The sequence below is a fragment of the Homo sapiens genome, chromosome 13 (assembly GCF_000001405.40).
Source record: "Homo sapiens chromosome 13, GRCh38.p14 Primary Assembly".
Classification (NCBI taxonomy): domain Eukaryota; kingdom Metazoa; phylum Chordata; class Mammalia; order Primates; family Hominidae; genus Homo; species Homo sapiens.
This window is the reverse complement of record NC_000013.11, coordinates 87,889,734-87,907,408: the sequence shown is the minus strand read 5'-3', so window position 1 is coordinate 87,907,408 and position 17,675 is coordinate 87,889,734. Positions and strand designations below refer to the sequence as shown.

The 17,675-nt window shown below is 36.7% G+C and overlaps 1 pseudogene; it reads left to right on the top strand.

Annotated features, from left to right (window-relative positions):
* The first annotated feature begins 13,811 nt into the window (after nucleotides 1-13,811).
* TET1P1 (tet methylcytosine dioxygenase 1 pseudogene 1) lies at nucleotides 13,812-17,466 on the top strand (annotated as a pseudogene).

Here is a 17,675-nt window from a genome sequence, read left to right as displayed (position 1 = left end):
GCCATTCTGTTGTGGCTGGTCTCACTCTTCACTCTAATGTCTTTCCCCTTTGCCCTCTCTTTTTCCTGGACTCAGTGTGTACAAGCTTAAAAATGCATCTTTCTCAGTATACATCCAGTTTTCAGATATGAGGATTTATATCTTTCTCTAAATCCAAATTGTTTTCTGACACTTCACCTGCTCAGTGAGTCACTGTTCACTGTTTTGTGATCTCCTTGATGCTGCTTTGCTTTGTAAGCTCCTGATGATCTCTTACATCTTGCAACTAGTTCATTCTTTTGATGTCTTTACCTTACGTGATTCATTTTGAAACATTTCTTCAATTATATTGTCTACTTTGCAAGTTCTAACTTCAACTGTGGGCAGTTTTAAGAGTTCCTATAATTTTTCCAATGACTATAGTTTTATTTTTTTAAATGGTCATGTTTTCTGTATGTCTGTACTTATTTCATCTATATTACCTTTCTGCCCTGCTTAAACTATGGATATTTAAAAGAAACTTTTACATAATTTTTTTCAGGATGCACAACTAATCTAATTTAATCAAGCATAAATTTGTTCATTTGTTGAACCTGTTGCTAATCATATCAACCTTAACTCAAGCATGGCACTGGGCTTCTTCTTGCATCTGAAAATATTTTGTGAACTCATTTTGATGCTTTTTCCCGAACAGACCAGCTCTATGGGTTGCATAAGCTCTCCGTTTCGTATCTGTGACTTCACTCCTTTGGGTCTCTTCAGCTGCACACAGATGTAATACTGCTTATAAGGTGAAAAATGCAGTTTCTTGTCAGGCAGATGTTCTGTGTTTACCCCCATTTCTACTTCTTTCACTAATGAGTAAAATCTAAAATCTTTCCAGATGTAAGCTTGGAACAGGAACAGTGGGAGTAGCTACTTGGTCCTAACCCACAGTTTCAGAAATCAATACCCACCCAGCTTAATGTACAGATCCTGGTTTTATTTACAGGATATGTTGAGCTCTCAATCCAAAGCAGGCATTAAAGCATTGGTTCTTACTTTCCATAGGTTCTTACTTTCTATTCAGCCCTCTGTAGACCCTCAACTTAAGGTTATTGCTTTCCTCTTTATGAAGTCCATCGTGATTGCTTTTGCTTAGCATTATCATTATTAATGTCTGTAAATTCCTAACACATACCCTTTATGTTTATCTATATTTGGATCAGAGAAAGGATGTTTTCATTGCACCAAATATCATAATGGTAATTTTTCGTTTACCTTTAAGTGTTTTTTTGTCTGTAAAACTCATTTCTTATACAAAGGATCAAGTTACTATCCTACAATTCTTATTATCTCCAAATTTAGAACAGGATTCAAAATAGTAGAAAAGTATTGTAGATGAACTACTAGGTGTATTTCATGTAAATTGTGGTACTAAAGGAAATTCTGATAAATATGTGAATAAGTAAGAAGAGAGGGGTGAGGAGTAGTAAGAAGAAAAAGAAAAAAGAGAAGAAAATATTCCTTTTAAAATATGCAAAAGGAGATCTTTTTTTTCCCTCTAACAAAAACCTACATATTTTTCTCTAAGGTGAAAATGATGTCACTTTTATCCACATGTTAGCAGTACCAAGAGTCTGACACATCAAAACCTGTGTATTTCATTGCTTTGCTTATCATTAAATTGCTGGAGGAATTTGTGGCACCGTAGCTAAATACTCAAAAACTGTTCAGGGTTCCAGTCAATAAAATATATATATATTTTATATATATGTTATATATGTTATATGTTATATATGTTATATATATTATATATATGTATGTTATATATATGTTATATATACGTATGTTATATATATATGTTTTTTATATATAAGTTTTATATATATATATAACATAAGAGTCTCTTGCCCATATTTCTTCAAGTTATATATGGCTAGAAAACATGAGAAAATCTGGTGTTCTTTCTTCTAGAGATGATTAAGAATATTTATTTCCGTGTCAACACGTGTCAATTGGCATAACTGTGTATATTGCTATTTAGAATTCTAGATTTGGACCTTGCTTTCAGACTAAGTGAAGACAATTACTTATTAAAGAGCACACAGTTAATACCCCAGTTATAGGATACCAGTAAAAATATGTGTGCCTCCTTATATTCCTGTGCCTCCTTATATTCCTAATGGCCCAGTTTCAGGTTATAATAGGAAACTCTGATTGGAAAGAGCTCTTTGAATTAGCTATCCAAGATCATTTATCTTTCTATTCCTCCTAGTATTAAGGACAATGCCTTTCCCATTGTAAACACTGTCAATATTTGATATTTATCTTTCTTATACCATTTACTCTCATTCCATCTCTCTATTCAATCAAATATTAATGAATAGCAATTTGGAATTGCAACAAACAAAAAAATCAGATCTAGTTGTCATCATCATGCCCATGGTAAAATGCTCACTACGTTGTCAGTTTAAATTAGTTCTTTTATCTCAAATCCCAATAGTACTATCTTTAAGTTCTTTTCATCCTGCATTTTTATCATTATCCAGTTCTGAGTAAACTTCATGAAATCTACAGGGACATTTGAGAAACTATTGTTCCAAAAAGTGGGTCAGTGCTCTTTTGTCTATAAGATGTTCTTATCATTTTTATACAGAGTTTAATTAATGGAATTGAATTATAAGTGCACATAAAAATCTGTGTTGGTCATAAAAATAATAGTAAAGATTGCCTATGACATTTTTTTCTATAGAAAACAATTCTGCTTAAGATAATTCTTTATTGTACTGTTAGTAAAAGTTTAGTTACTGACAATGCAAAATGAACCTAATTATAAAATTATCTCACAATTCCTTGTTCCTTATGCCAGCATTAGAGTAAAAGTTGAGTTTAATGTGATTCAGAAAGTAGCAGATGGCCTAAATATTATTCATTAACTTATTTTTTTTTTTAGTAAATTTACTGTGTACACAAGCAAGAAGGGGAAAAACGTCAGGTTACTGTACTCTGTTCTGCAAATAATTTTTTGTCAAAATACAGATTATCAGCAAATGCGAATAGGAAGATATGCAAAAACTAATACATGATTATTAATAAATTAATAAATAATAAATGCAATGTATATTGACTACATAGTGCTGTGATGTAAATATCTGTACCCCACAAATTCATGTTAAAATTGTAACTCCACAGGTGATGGCATTGGGGGGTGGAGTCTTTGGCAGACGATTGGTTCACAAAAGCAGAGTCCTCACAAAGGGATTAGTGCCTTTATAAAAGAGAGCAAGTTAGTCCCTTTAACTATATAAGGGCACAGCTAGAAGGTAGCACTTATAAATCAGAGAGTGGGCTCTCACCTGACACTGAATTTGCCAGTACCTTGACCTTAGACTTTCCAACCTCCTGAACTGTGAGAAATAAATCTCTGTGTTTATAAGCCACCCAGTGCATAGTATTTTGATATAGCAGCCAAAAAGGACTAAGACACACATTTCTAATGTTCAGTATTTTTCAATGATAAGTCTCACTCCCTTACATGAAAGTACAAAATAATTCAGAAATCTCCTAGTACTACCAAACTGTGTTGTTGTTTTTCAGTTTAATCTGCATGGGTTAATTTTTCCATTCAGTATAGGAACTTATTGACTCAGCCAGGAATCTAAAAATTGTGTTTGTTAGCAAAAAAATGAAAGCAATTGGCAGACATTCATAATCCAGTTATTGTTTGACTTAAACACTCTAGCTGCCAACTGCAAGAGAAAGTGGAAAAAAAAGAACAGGAATGGGCTTAAAATTTATTTGTTGATTTGGTGGAAAAACACAAAATAGCCTCACTACATTAATTGCTTTTCATGTTTTCTTGCATTATACATTTTTTTAGTGTTGAGGATTTTGAAATGATGGCTTGGTACAAAGTTACAATTTGAATCATGTAGCCATTTGCTGTTTTCATTTAAGAGAAACAAATTCCCTATGGATATAGAAGGGAAACAGAAGTTCTTGCAGCTTCTCATTTATTTACCAGCGAAAGGAAGCAAGTGGGTGACTCTACCAGAAAATCCAGAGACACTTCCCAGCTAGGAAGGATGATCAAAGAATCTGAGAGTTGAAACATCTTCTAATAAACATTCTTTTGCTAGAAAACTCTGGAACAGAGGCAACAAGTATGCATTTCAAAGAAGTCTAAAAATTATGACTACACTTTGATTTTGGAATTGTACACAGAACAGAATACACAAAGTCCAAACATCTCATACTGTCAATGCTATTTCTTCCTATTCTTGAAGTGCAGTGACTGGACCTCCCACTGATTCTATGTGGTAACTGTAAGAAAAATCTTAAAAAGTGATTTTATTTTGTAATTTTTGGGGGGAAGAAAACTATAGGGCATAGTGATCCAATGTGAGTAAAACCAACCTTTCTTTTGCAAAAGATCCACTTGATCCCAGTGTATTAAAAAAAAAAAAAGAAAAAAAACAGCTTAAAAACTGTCTTAACGTCTCATTCTAATGTGGCCTCATTATACAAAATCTGTTCCAAGAGACAAATTTTTAATGGTTTTTTAGACCTTTAATGTAACCCCAGGATCAGGATCTGAAAATATCTATGTTTTTATTATCAGTGCATTCCCTAATGTGTTTTGTGTAGCACTAGATTAAGAATCAAAGTGCTTGTAAAAACGGGAATATCATCTCATACCAGTTGAATCGCAGTTGAGCTGTAAGTGTAAAATTTGGTTTTAAAATCAAAGGGGCAGGGCCCAGTGGCTCACACCTGTAATCCTCAGGCTTTGAGAGTCCAAGGTGGGAGGATCACTTGAGGTCAGGAGCTCAACACCAGGCTGGGCAGTATAGTGAGACCCCATCTCTACCATAAAATAAAATAAAATTAGTCAGGAGTGGTGGTGTGCACTTGTAGTCCTAGCTACTCAAGAGGCTGACACAGGAGGATCGCTTGAGCACGGGAACTTGAGGTTGCAGTGAGGTAGGATTGCACTCTATACTACAACAACAGAACATGACACTGTCTCTAAAAATAAATAAATAAAATCAAAGGGACTACAAATTTGATTTTGAAAGTCCACCCAAGTGAATTTTATGCATACTAAAGTTTAAACACTAATTTTTATAAACTTAATGAGATATGTACTTTCTTTACATGTCTACTCATCAGATATCTATTGTCAACCAAATACTTTATCAAACTTAAAGATAAAATTTAAAGTAACAATGAAATTGTTTAAGAATTTGTACTCGATCTGAGGTCACATGGGCTCTGCTCTCATTTTCAAGTCCTCTCTGTAACTCCAGGCAAGTTACTTTACCTCTTTAAGTATCAGTATAAGGTGGCTGTAAAAATTTCATAGAGAACCTGTACAAAGCACTTGGCACTAGTCAAAGTCAAGTCAGACAATAAAAAGACTAATAACATTTATTGAATACTTAATATATGCCAGGCTCTCTCCTAAGTGTTTTATACATCTTAACTCATTTACACCTTACAGCAAAATGGTAATATGGGTGAATTTGTACATACATATTACGGATGAGCAAACAAGGGCAATATGAGATAATTTCTTTATCCAAAATTACAGTTTGTAAGTGGAAGGGCCTAAAATTAAAGTTTCAGCACAAGCAATTTACTTAAGAAATGCAGGTAATCTTAGTAGTAGAGTAAGAAAGTGACAGAGAAAAGCAAATTCAGTCAGTAAAGCATTCACTATAAGACGTCTAACTCTGTGGGCCACTGAAGTTTAATATCATGGGGAAAATCTGAGAATTGTGAATGCCACACCTAGGAATTATCACAGCTGGGAGACAAGGACGTTGAATTAATTTTAGAGCAATGACCAAGTCAATAGTTGAGGTAATCTTTTGTGAATTTTAATTCCTGGGCCAATCACATGTGGGGAGTATTACCTTTCATACATGAAGAAGAGTGGGCAAAAAGAGCCATCAGATATACACATGCAGACCCTGACAGCTGGATGCAAACCGAAGCAGACAGCAAGTTCCCAGGCATGTGAGTTGGGCATAAAGTGCCTCCGTTGCAGAGGCCCAGCTGGAATTGCCTTTAACTCCAAAGCATAAACTCATATCTACTACGGTTGATTGCTTTTCTAGATTTATCCCTGCACAAACATAGCTCTAACAGTTTCAAGATATTTCTTAACTGTTTTGCTGTTGTCAGACATTTTTTTGTAGTTAATAGGGTAGAGTTGCTTATTAATTTATTTATTTTAGGTCCTAAATTTATTTATTTATAGGTCCTAAATGAATCAAAATGCCTAATAAATGGGTTCTCATCTCAAGGAGAAGACCTTTTTATAAAAAACATAAGACAAGTTTTCAGACTGGCATGAAGACATAATTGAGCTGTTAAAGAATTTTATATAGAATTAGAAAACTTCACATTCTTTCGATCCTTTTATGCTCTTTAGTTGTAGTTTTAAATCAGAATTTAATGCATTCAACCTACCTATATATTGAATGCACTCTATGCCATGATCTGTTCTAGACACTAGGTTTAAATGAAAAGCTATATAAGACTCATATTGCATAGAGAGAAATAGAAATAAGAACATTTACAAACAAAGATAATTTCATAGAAGGTTAAGTGATATGACAAATATAAATAAAGACTAAGTAAAAGGATAATCATTGTATACAAATGGCTACTTTAGCTTTGCTGATTAAGAAAAGCCTCCAGAGCAATTAACTGAAGAGAACGATGATAGGTAAGCCTTGCAAAACTCGAGGGAAATCTGGAGCCCAAGAGGATGATCAAGATAGAATTATAGAGCAATGGAAATCTAAATTAAGTCAGTAAAGAAAGGAATTTTTAAAAAGCTTCAATTTATTGAGAAACTATTATGTGTCTGAAAACTGACATTTTATTTGTTAATTTCTTAGCAATTTTGCATATTATGTTATATGTGCTTTCTAAATTGGAAAAATGAGTGATAAATTAAAATTGGATTAAGATCACGCACAAACGCTGGTGGTAAAATCTGAGTCCAGATCTAACTTGATTTAAATGTTGAACTTTAAAATAGGTCTCACCAAATTTCCAAAAAGCTAAATGGTACTTTATTTTTATGTGAAATTAAATTCGAGTCAAATATAAGAAGATAATTAGAAATTATCCAAATGTCTGGAAATTAAGAAATGTACTTCTAATTGAAATAACAATGAAAATACTGAATATTTAAATTTGCAATATACAGCTAAACTGTGCTTAGAAGGAAAGCATAACTTTCTCTTCTTTTAGCTTGTAAGTTCAAGGGTACACGTGCAGGTTTGTTCTATAGGTAAACTCGTGTCATGGAGGTTTGTTGTAAAGATTATGTTATCATCTGATTATTAAGCCTAGTACTTATAAGTTATTTTTCCTGATCCTCTCCCTCCTTCTACTCTCCACTTTCAGGTAGGTCCCAGTGTCTGTTGTTGCCCTCTATGTGACTATGTGTTCTCATTGTTTAGCTCCCACTTGTAAGTGAGAACATGCAGTATTTGGTTTCCTGTTCCTGTGTTAGTTTGCTAAGGTTAATGGCTTCTAGCTCCATCCAAATTCCTGCAAAGGACATGATCTCATTCTTTTTCATGGCTGCATAATATTCCATGGTGTATATGCACCACATTTTCTTTATTTAATCCATCATTGATGGGCATTTGGGTTGATTCCATGTCTTTGCTATTGTGAACAGTGCTGCAGCAAACATACACGTGTGTGTCTTTTTGACAGGATGATTTATATTCTTTTGGGTATATACCCAGAAATGGGATTGTTGGGTTGAATGGTAGATCTGATTTTAGCTCCTTGAGGAATCACCACACTGCTTTCCACAATGGTTGAACTAATTTACATTCCTACCAACAGCACAAAAGTGTTCCTTTTTCTCCACAATCTCACCAGCATCTGTTGTTTTTTGACTCCTTAATAATAGCCATTCTGACTGGTGTGAGATGGTATCTCACTGTGGTTTAGATTGAAAACACAACTTTCAAGACAAATTTAGAAAATAAAAAAGCCATCAAATTAATCATCTACATATTCATTATAGAAATTTAGAATTTAGAAAAAGAGAATATTGTACAAAATATAGAATATTACTTTTTAAAAAGTGGAAAAAATGTGAAATAGAAAACAAATAGCAAAAATTAGCAAAGCCAACAGTTGATTGTATGAAGAAATTAACACAGTATATGAACCCTGGACAATGTCAAGCACATAAGGAAGAGAGAAGGCACTAAAATGCAGTATCAATACAAAAAGAGCATCCTTGCAACACTCACAGACAAAAATGTGGCATCAGTAAAAAGATGATAAGGATACTAGTTTTAAAATCATCCTAGTAATTTAGAAAGTCTATATGTTTTATGTCTCTACTTGCCAAAAGTGAACTAGGAAGAAACAGAGAATTGAAAACATTTACAATCATTGCATAAATAAATCATATTTAAAATTTCCAGCAAAGAAAACTTCAGGCTCATATCCAAACTCACTGAGAAATTCTACCAAATATTAAAGGAAGAAATAGGATCTATCTTAGCAAAAGTCTTTTAAATAATAGTAAAGTGGAAACATTTCACAACATAGTTTGCAAGGCCAGCATAATATCTGGCCAAGACATTATACAAAATAAAAATCAAAGATCAATGTTTCTCATGAAAATAGGTACAAAAACTTAAAATATTACCACAGCAAATTTAGTGTTATATAAAAAGGAATGTGATTCACAAATAATTTTCATTTATCCCACAATTACAAGGTTATTTTAGCATTTTAAAATCTATCAACATATAGCGTGATGCCTCCAGGTTTGTTCTTTTGGCTTAGGATTGACCTGGCGATGCAGGCTCTTTTTTCGTTCCATATGAACTTTAAAGTAGTTTTTTTCCAATTCTGTGAAGAAAGTCATTGGTAGCTTGATGGGGATGGCACTGAATCCATAAATTACCTTGGGCAGTATGGCCATTTTCATGATATTGATTCTTCCTACCCATGAGCATGGAATGTTCTTCCATTTCTTTGCATCCTCTTTTATTTCATTGAGCAGTGGTTTGTAGTACTCCTTGAAGACGTCCTTCACGTCCCTTGTAAGTTGGATTTCTAGGTATTTTATTCACTTTGAAGCAATTGTGAATGGGAGTTCAATTGTGAATGGGAGTTCCAATTGTGAATGGATTTGGCTCTCTGTTTGGCTGTTATTGGTGTACAAGAATGCTTGTGATTTTTGTACATTGATTTTGTATCCTGAGACTTTGCTGAAGTTTCTTATCAGCTTAAGGAGATTTTGGGCTGAGACAATGGAGTTTTCTAGATATACAATCATATCATCTGCAAACAGGGACAATTTGACTTCCTCTTTTCCTAATTGAATACCCTTTATTTCCTTCTCCTGCCTAATTGCCCTGGCCAGAACTTCCAACACTATGTTGAATAGGAGTGGTGAGAGAGGGCATCCCTGTCTTGTGCCAGTTTTCAAAGGGAATGCTTCCAGTTTTTGCCCATTCAGTACGATATTGGCTGTGGGTTTGTCATAGATAGCTCTTATTATTTTGAGATATGTCCTATCAATACCTAATTTATTGAGAGTTTTTAGCATGAAGGGTTGTTGAATTTTGTCAAAGGCCTTTTCTGCATCTATTGAGATAATCATGTGGCTTTTGTCTTTGGTTCTGTTTATATGCTGGATTACATTTATTGACCAAAACAGAGATATAGATCAATGGAACAGAACAGAGCCCTCAGAAATAACGCCGCATATCTACAACTATCTGATCTTTGACAAACCTGAGAAAAACAAGCAATGGGAAAAGGATTCCCTATTTAATAAAAGGTGCTAGGAAAACTAGCTAGCCATATGTAGAAAGCTGAAACTGGATCCCTTCCTTACACCTTATACAAAAATTAATTCAAGATGGATTAAAGACTTAAACATTAGACCTAAAACCATAAAAACCCTAGAAGAAAACCTAGGCATTACCATTCAGGACATAGTCATGGGCAAGGACTTCATGTCTAAAACACCAAAAGCAATGGCAACAAAAGCCAAAATTGACAAATGGGATCTAATTAAACTAAAGAGCTTCTGCACAGCAAAAGAAACTACCATCAGAGTGAACAGGCAACCTACAACATGGGAGAAAATTTTCGCAACCTACTCATCTGACAAAGGGCTAATATGCAGAATATACAATGAACTCAAACAAATTTCCAAGAAAAAACCAAACAACCCCATCAAAAAGTGGGCGAGGACATGAACAGACACTTCTCAAAAGAAGACATTTATGCAGCCAAAAAACACATGAAAAAATGCTCACCATCACTGGCCATCAGAGAAATGCAAATCAAAACCACAATGAGATACCATCTCACACCAGTCAGAATGACAATCACTAAAAAGTCAGGAAACAACAGGTGCTGGAGAGGATGTGGAGAAATAGGAACACTTTTACATTGTTGGTGGGACTGTAAACTAGTTCAACCATTGTGGAAGTCAGTGTGGTGATTCCTCAGGGATCTAGAACTAGAAATACCATTTGACTCACCCATCCCATTACTGGGTATATACCCAAAGGACTATAAATCATGTTGCTATAAAGACACATGCACACGTATGTTTATTGCAGCACTGTTCACAATAGCAAAGACTTGGAACCAACCTAAATGTCCAACAATAATAGACTGGATTAAGAAAATGTGGCACATATACACCATGGAATACTATGCAGCCATAAAAAATGATGAGTTCATGTCCTTTGTAGGGACATGGATGAAACTGGAAATCATCATTCTCAGTAAACTATCGCAAGGACAAAAAATCAAACACTGCATGTTCTCACTCATAGGTGCGAATTGAACAATGAGAACACATGGACACAAGAAGGGGAACGTCACACTCTGGGGACTGTTGTGGGGTGGGGGGAGGGGGGAGGGATGGCATTAGGAGATGTACCTAATGCTAAATGAGGAGCTAATGGGTGCAGCACACCAGCATGGCACATGTATACATATGTAACTAACCTGCACATTGTGCACATGTACCCTAAAACTTAAAGTATAATAATAATAAAATTAAAAAATAACAAAAATAAAAAATAAATAAAATAATATCTATCAACATATTACACAATATAAAAACAACAAAAAAGTGATCCAGCTTCCAGGAAAGGCAGAGGGTGGCAGTGGGAGCAGAGTCAGGATGGTCATGTTGGAGATCATTTTCTATAAAAACTTTTGAGCTAGGAGATTTCATGAGTTTTGGACTTGCTGAACACTTGGAGCTGCTGTGAGGGTAGTGTGCCCAGACAGGGCATGGGAACTCTGTGACACCTCCCTCCACAACCATGCCCTTAGTATGTCCTCTTTGGGTGATCATCTGTGTCCCTCATAATGCACTGGTAAGCACCAAAACCTTGTGTGAATGAGATTAAGAACACTGCATCCAGATTATCCTCTAAAGTGAGACTTTCTAAAGGACAAAGGACTGTTTCCTGTGCCTCTTACTTTTTTTCTACCCTGCAGCTATGTCTGGGTCCTGCCACACAAGGCTTCCAGATTAGTCAGGAAGAAAGATGCAAACAAAAAGAGAAACAGCAAACTACAGAAGACATCCAAGACAGCCAACAAAAATGTGGCACCAGTCAAGGCTTTAAGCCCTGGAAAATTAAAGCAATTAATTCAAGAAAGAGATGCTAAGAAAAAAACCAGAACCTAAACCATCCATGCCAGTCAGAAGCTTTCTGACAAGAGCTGGAACAGCACACATGAATTTGGATAGGACTGAGGTTTCTTTTCAGAACCCAGGGTTCTTAACCTGCAGTGGGCTCACAGTGGCTCTAAGAAGAACCTTTCTTAGCAGGCGACTCTCCCAAACCCCACTGGTCATAGCCAATTTCAAGAAAGTTCCACCTTCTAAGGGTTTAGAAAAGCTACATGATGATAATTATAAGATACTCACTGACTTGGGAGGAAAGAGCTCAAAAAATGATTCAGTCCCAATGCAAGACACCACATTCTTCTTAATATAGAGGCTCTATCTGGTGTACAAAATCCCTCTTTAATCAAAAGTAAGAGCCAAGAGACAACTCAGTCCTGGTACAAAAGGGTTAAACATTCTCAAATCAATATCCCTACCCTCAGTGGCCCTGCAGCTGAGATTCTTTCTTGTCCATTGGAAAGGACATGCTGTGGTAAAGGACTATTCTCTGAAGAAACATTGAATGATACTAGTGGTTCCCCAAGACTGTTTGCTAAGGGCATTGTGTGTGCTCCTTTGCCACAAAGAACAACTGCCAAAGTTATCTCTCAAGGAAACCCCAGAATTCAATTAGAAGAGTTGGGTTAATGAGTAGAATCCCTTAAGTTATCTGATTCTTACACAGATCCCATTAAAAGTGAATATGATTGCTATCCCACCTCCAGTTTTAATAAGGTTATACCTGTACTGAACCTTAGAAACTGGATGGCTCTTGGTAGATCTACATCTTCTACATGTCTAAGAAAATTCCTTTTGGCAGGCTAAGAACAAGCAACCCTTGGTGCTAAACCAGATCATCAAGAGGCCCTCAAAGCTACTACAAATCAACAGGAAGTTGCTAATACCACCTCTGTCCTAGGACAGATCTTCAGTGCTATCCCACATCAGTGGCAACTTCATGCCAAGGCCCTGGGTAAGACCCCAGATCCAACAAAGGTTCCTGGTGCTATTCCAGTCCAAGAAGAGCTCTTTGGTACTATCTTAGACCAACAACAAACCCTTGGTATGAGTGGGGGCATTGCCCCGTACTTGCCTCTCTTCCTTCCTGTTCCTCCAAATCTAAGTGCTACCTATCAGGCTCCTCCCAAATGGCCTGAGCCCTATGGCACTGTCTCATATGGGTTTGTGGTCCAGAGTGCTATATACATTTTGCCTTTGGACTCAGGACACACTCCTCAATCATCATCAACCCCAGAGAAAAATTCATTACCTCCAGCAATGGCTATAAGCAATGTAGAAAATGAAAAGCAAGTTCATATAAGCTTTCTGCCAGATAACACTCGGGGTTTCCTAATAGCCCCTGAGAGAAGACTCTTCCATGCTTCACTGGGTATTGCCCAACTCTCCCAGGCAGGTCCCAGCGAATCAGAAAGAGGGAGCTCCCAGGTCAGCATAACCAGCACAGTTCATGTTGTCAACACCACAGTGGTGACTATGCCAGCTTGACTGGTCAGTATCTCCTCTTCTCCTTCTTAAACCACTTTATCACCCACTTTGAAAAAAAAAGGAAATGAAAGCAATATGAGGTCTGTGAACCCTACCAGCAGAAGTGCAACTTTGGTGAATGCACTAGTTGCAAGAAGAGAAAGAACAGCCATCAGATCTTAAGAAGAGGAAATGTTAGGAGCTGAAAAAGACATCATCTGTCATTGTGCCTTTGGAGGTTATAAAGGAAATCAAGAGACCCCAGAGGGAAAAGAAACTCAAAGTTTTAAAGGCAGATTTTGACAACAAATCAGTAAATGTCCCCAAGTCAGAATCCATGGACTACAATAGATGGGGAAGAACAAGGATTGGAATTGAATCCACATCCCCTTGAAATTATAACTAAACTTGAAGAATGCATGACAGCCATTGAGGTGGAGAAGATGTAAAACAAGAAATTACATTTAACTGATCATGTCAAAGGAGATTTCAGTGCTAATGTCCCAGAAGCTGAAAAATCGAAAAACTCTGAAGTTGACAAGAGACAAACCTCCAAAATTGTTTGTACAAACTGTAAGAAATGGCACTAAACATGTACACTATTTATCAATGGAAACAAATGTGTCATTTAAAAAATTTAATATTGAAGAATTTGGCAAGACATTTAAAAACAATCTTATAAATTCCTAAAAGACACCTGCCATGAGCTCTGTTGCTACTAATGCAAGTTGTTATCATCTCAAAGGAGAAGTAATGTTTTAGTCTTCCAGCAGTCTGGCTTTAACTGCAATTCCATTCCACATTCTTCACACTCCAACATACACTGTCATGGTAGTACACACAATGAAGTTGATAAACCACAAACTCCTGAGGTTATACCAAGTAAAGAACCAAAAGATGGATCTCAACCAAGTCTCTTATCCTTAATGAAAGGTAAGAGATTAACACTGGAGGAAGTGGCAGCCATAGAGGTCTTGACTCAGCTCTCAGAAGCCCCACCAGAGAATTCTTCCCCATCAAAGTCAGAGAATGATGAAGAATCAGAGCAGAGAACAGCTAGTTATCTCTTTTTAAGCCAGAATTAAATTCATCCAAGAGTGATACCAATGAAAGTATTACTCAAGGTAGAATTACTCTTGACAGTTGTTGCAAGAATTTCCATCAGTTGCCCCTAAAAAATAACAAGTTGGGATATTGTAACCAGTTACTGGACAGTAGCAAAAAAGAAAAATTGGTATAGATGGCCTATCAGGTCAAGATGCAGCTCATACTCAAATTGAAGAACATGTTGCAATACAGTTGACATAACTTGCTTCAATAATTAATTTCAATTATATAAAACCAGAGGACAAAAATGTTGAAAGTACACTGACAAGCCTTGTTGCATGTAATGTACAGCAAAAATACAATCAGGAGAAGGGTGTAATACAATAGAAACCACCTTCAAGTGTCCAAAATAATCATAGTTCATCATTAACAAAGTAAAAGAACACAACCCAGAAAAAGACAAAATCTACCTCATCAGGAGATTGTTGGAAAAAGAAGCCCATGCTTGCTGTTAAAGAGCATCTCATGTACCAGAGACTGACAACATTACCTTATATCTCTCATGAGACATCCTTACTGAAGTCAGCACCAACTCTTAGGAGTGTAAATATTGCATGTTCAGGTGGAATTACAATGGTTTCTACCAAAAGTGAAGAGGAAGTAGGTTCACCCACTGTTGAAACATCAGTTTTCCACAGCAAAGCATGCACAGAGAAATTCTGGTGAATATGCCATGAATTTCTTTACTATCCCTACAAAACACCTGATGTCTATAACTAAAGATTCTGAACTGCCCACCTGCAACTGTCTTGATCGAGTTACACGAAAAATCAAAGGCTCATATTATATACACCTGAGGCAGGACCAGGTGTTGCTGCTGTCAGGGAAATCATGGTGAATATGTATTGTGAAAAAGGAAACATAATAAGGATAGAAACAGTAGTGTACACTGGTAATGAAGGGAAAAGCTCTAATAGGTGTCCAATCATTAAGTGGGTTTTAACAAGAAGCAGTGATACAGAAAAAGCTCTCTGGTCTAGCAGTGTACAGGCCACCACTGTCCAACTGCTGTGATAGTGATGCTCATCATGGTGTGGGATGGCAATCGCTTCTCAGTGGCTGACTGGCTGTACACAGAGCTCACCAAGAATCTAAGGTCATACAGTATGCATCCCACCAACCGAAGATGCACCCTCCATTAAAATCGTACCTGTACATGTTAAGGAATTGATCCAGAGACATGTGGCACTTCATTCTCCTTTGGCTGTTCATGGAGTATGTACTTTAATGGCTGTAAGTTTGGTAGCGGCCCAAGCTCCAGAAGATTTAGAATTGATTCAAGCTCTCTCTTACATACCTACTATGAAAGAATTACTAAAGGACATAATCCAGAAAGACAATATATAAAACTGGAACAAATTTGTGTGGAACATGAGGCCATGGAAAAAAACCTTGAAGATAACTTAAAGAATTTGGCTACACAATTAGTTCCAATATATAAGCAACATGCTCCATTAGCTTACCAAAATCAGGTGGAACATGAAAATGTTGCACGAGAATGTTAGCTTGGCAGCAAGAATAGTTTTTCCTTCTCTGGCATCATAGCTTGCCTGGACTTCTCTGCCCAACCCCACAGAGACATTCACAACATGAATAATGGAAGCACTGTGGTTTGTACTTTAATTCAAGAAGATAACTGCTCTTTGGGTGTTATTCCTCAAGATAAGCAGCTCCATGTGCTACTTCTTTATACACTTTCAGACACAGATGAGTTTGGCTGAAGGGAGGGAATGGAAGCCAAGATCAAATCTGGGACCATTGAGGTCCTGGCACCTTGATGCAAAGAAAAAAAAAAAAAAGAAGAACATGTTTCATTCAGCCTGTTCCCAAGTTCTGAGAAGAAGAGGGCTGTGATGATGATGGAGGTTCTTGCATGTAAGATAAGGGCAGTGGAGAAAAAACCCATTCCCCAAATCAAGTGGAGGAATAACTCAGCAACAATAAACCTCAGTAAGGCTTTACTGCTGCCAATCTTCGCAATTAAAACAGAGACAGTGCAACCTAAAGTAAAGGAACCCTATTTTATCTTAAAAGATTTGTGAGGCCACAACACTAAAACCTATTCTCTGATTCCATCCATTTGTCACCCAGTGAAAGAGGCCATTCCATCTCCAGGCTTCTCCTGGTCCCCGAAGACTGCTTCAGCCACCCAGCTCTATTGAAGAAGGATGCAACAGTCCCCTACAGGTTTTCAGAAAGAAGTAGCATTCCCCACTGCTCACTGCACGATGCCTTCTGGAAGACTCAGTGGTGCCAATGCAGCTGCTGCGGAATGCTCTAGAATTGCACAGCCTGGCGAAGTGGCTTCTCCCCCCACTCTGTCTCCCCCTGTGACAGAGCCCTTGGTTTCTTCTCAGCCTCCCACTGGTCTAACTGAACCACTAACTTCTCATCAGCCAAGCCAGCAGCACCCCTTCCTCAACTCTTCTCAAGACCTCGCCTCTTTGATGGAAGATGATGAGCAGCATTCTGAAGCAAATGAGCCTCTATCAAACTAGTTGCTATCTGATGACTGCCTGTCACCTGCTGAAAAGAAATTGTCCCACCTAGGTGAGTATTGGTCAGACAGTGAGCACATATTTTTGGCTGCATATATTGGTCGGGTGGTCATGGCACAGCTCAGTTTTGATTCAGTGTGCCCTGTGAGAGCTTCACACTATGACTCCTGTGAGCATCTAAAGCCTAGTCAATCAATTCACCTCTCCCTTGTCTTTTACCAGCACAAAAACCTGAATAAGTCCCAACATGATCCTGAACTAAACAAAATTAAGTTTCAGGCTAAAGAAGCTAAGAATGAGAAAATGAAGGCTTCAGAGCAAAAAGACCAGGAAGCTGATGAAGGTCCTGAACTGCCCTCTAAGGAAATTATTTTAACCAAGTTCCTTCTCATAAAGCATTAACATTAACCCAAGACAATGGTGTCACCACATTTCCTTATGCTCTCACATACATTGCGGTGCCCTATAACCATTGGGTCTGAAGGCATTTCCCCGCCTCTTAATGCCCTTGCTAGTGCACTGTACTTTTTCAAGGTGCTATTAAAAGAAAATCATGTGCTGTTTACTCTGTTTTCTTCTAACTTATTTCAAGTCTGAGATAAAAAAAAAATGAGGTGAGTATTCTTAACTGAGATTATATTTTGACAATTGGTAGAAGCTGCACATTTTAAGCAAAAATAAAAGTTTTATTGTTTTAAATACAAAAAAATAAAAATTATGCTTAATTCAATAGATCTAGAAAAGGTAGTTGAAAAATTCAATTTGCTTATGATTTTAAAATATAATTAGTATTCTTAGCAGACTAGCACTAATATTGAACCTCCTTAATCTAGACAGACACATTTGTAAAACTATACCTACATGATAATCATGACACATTAACTGTACTATTAAGCTAATACAAGATTATAAATGTCTAC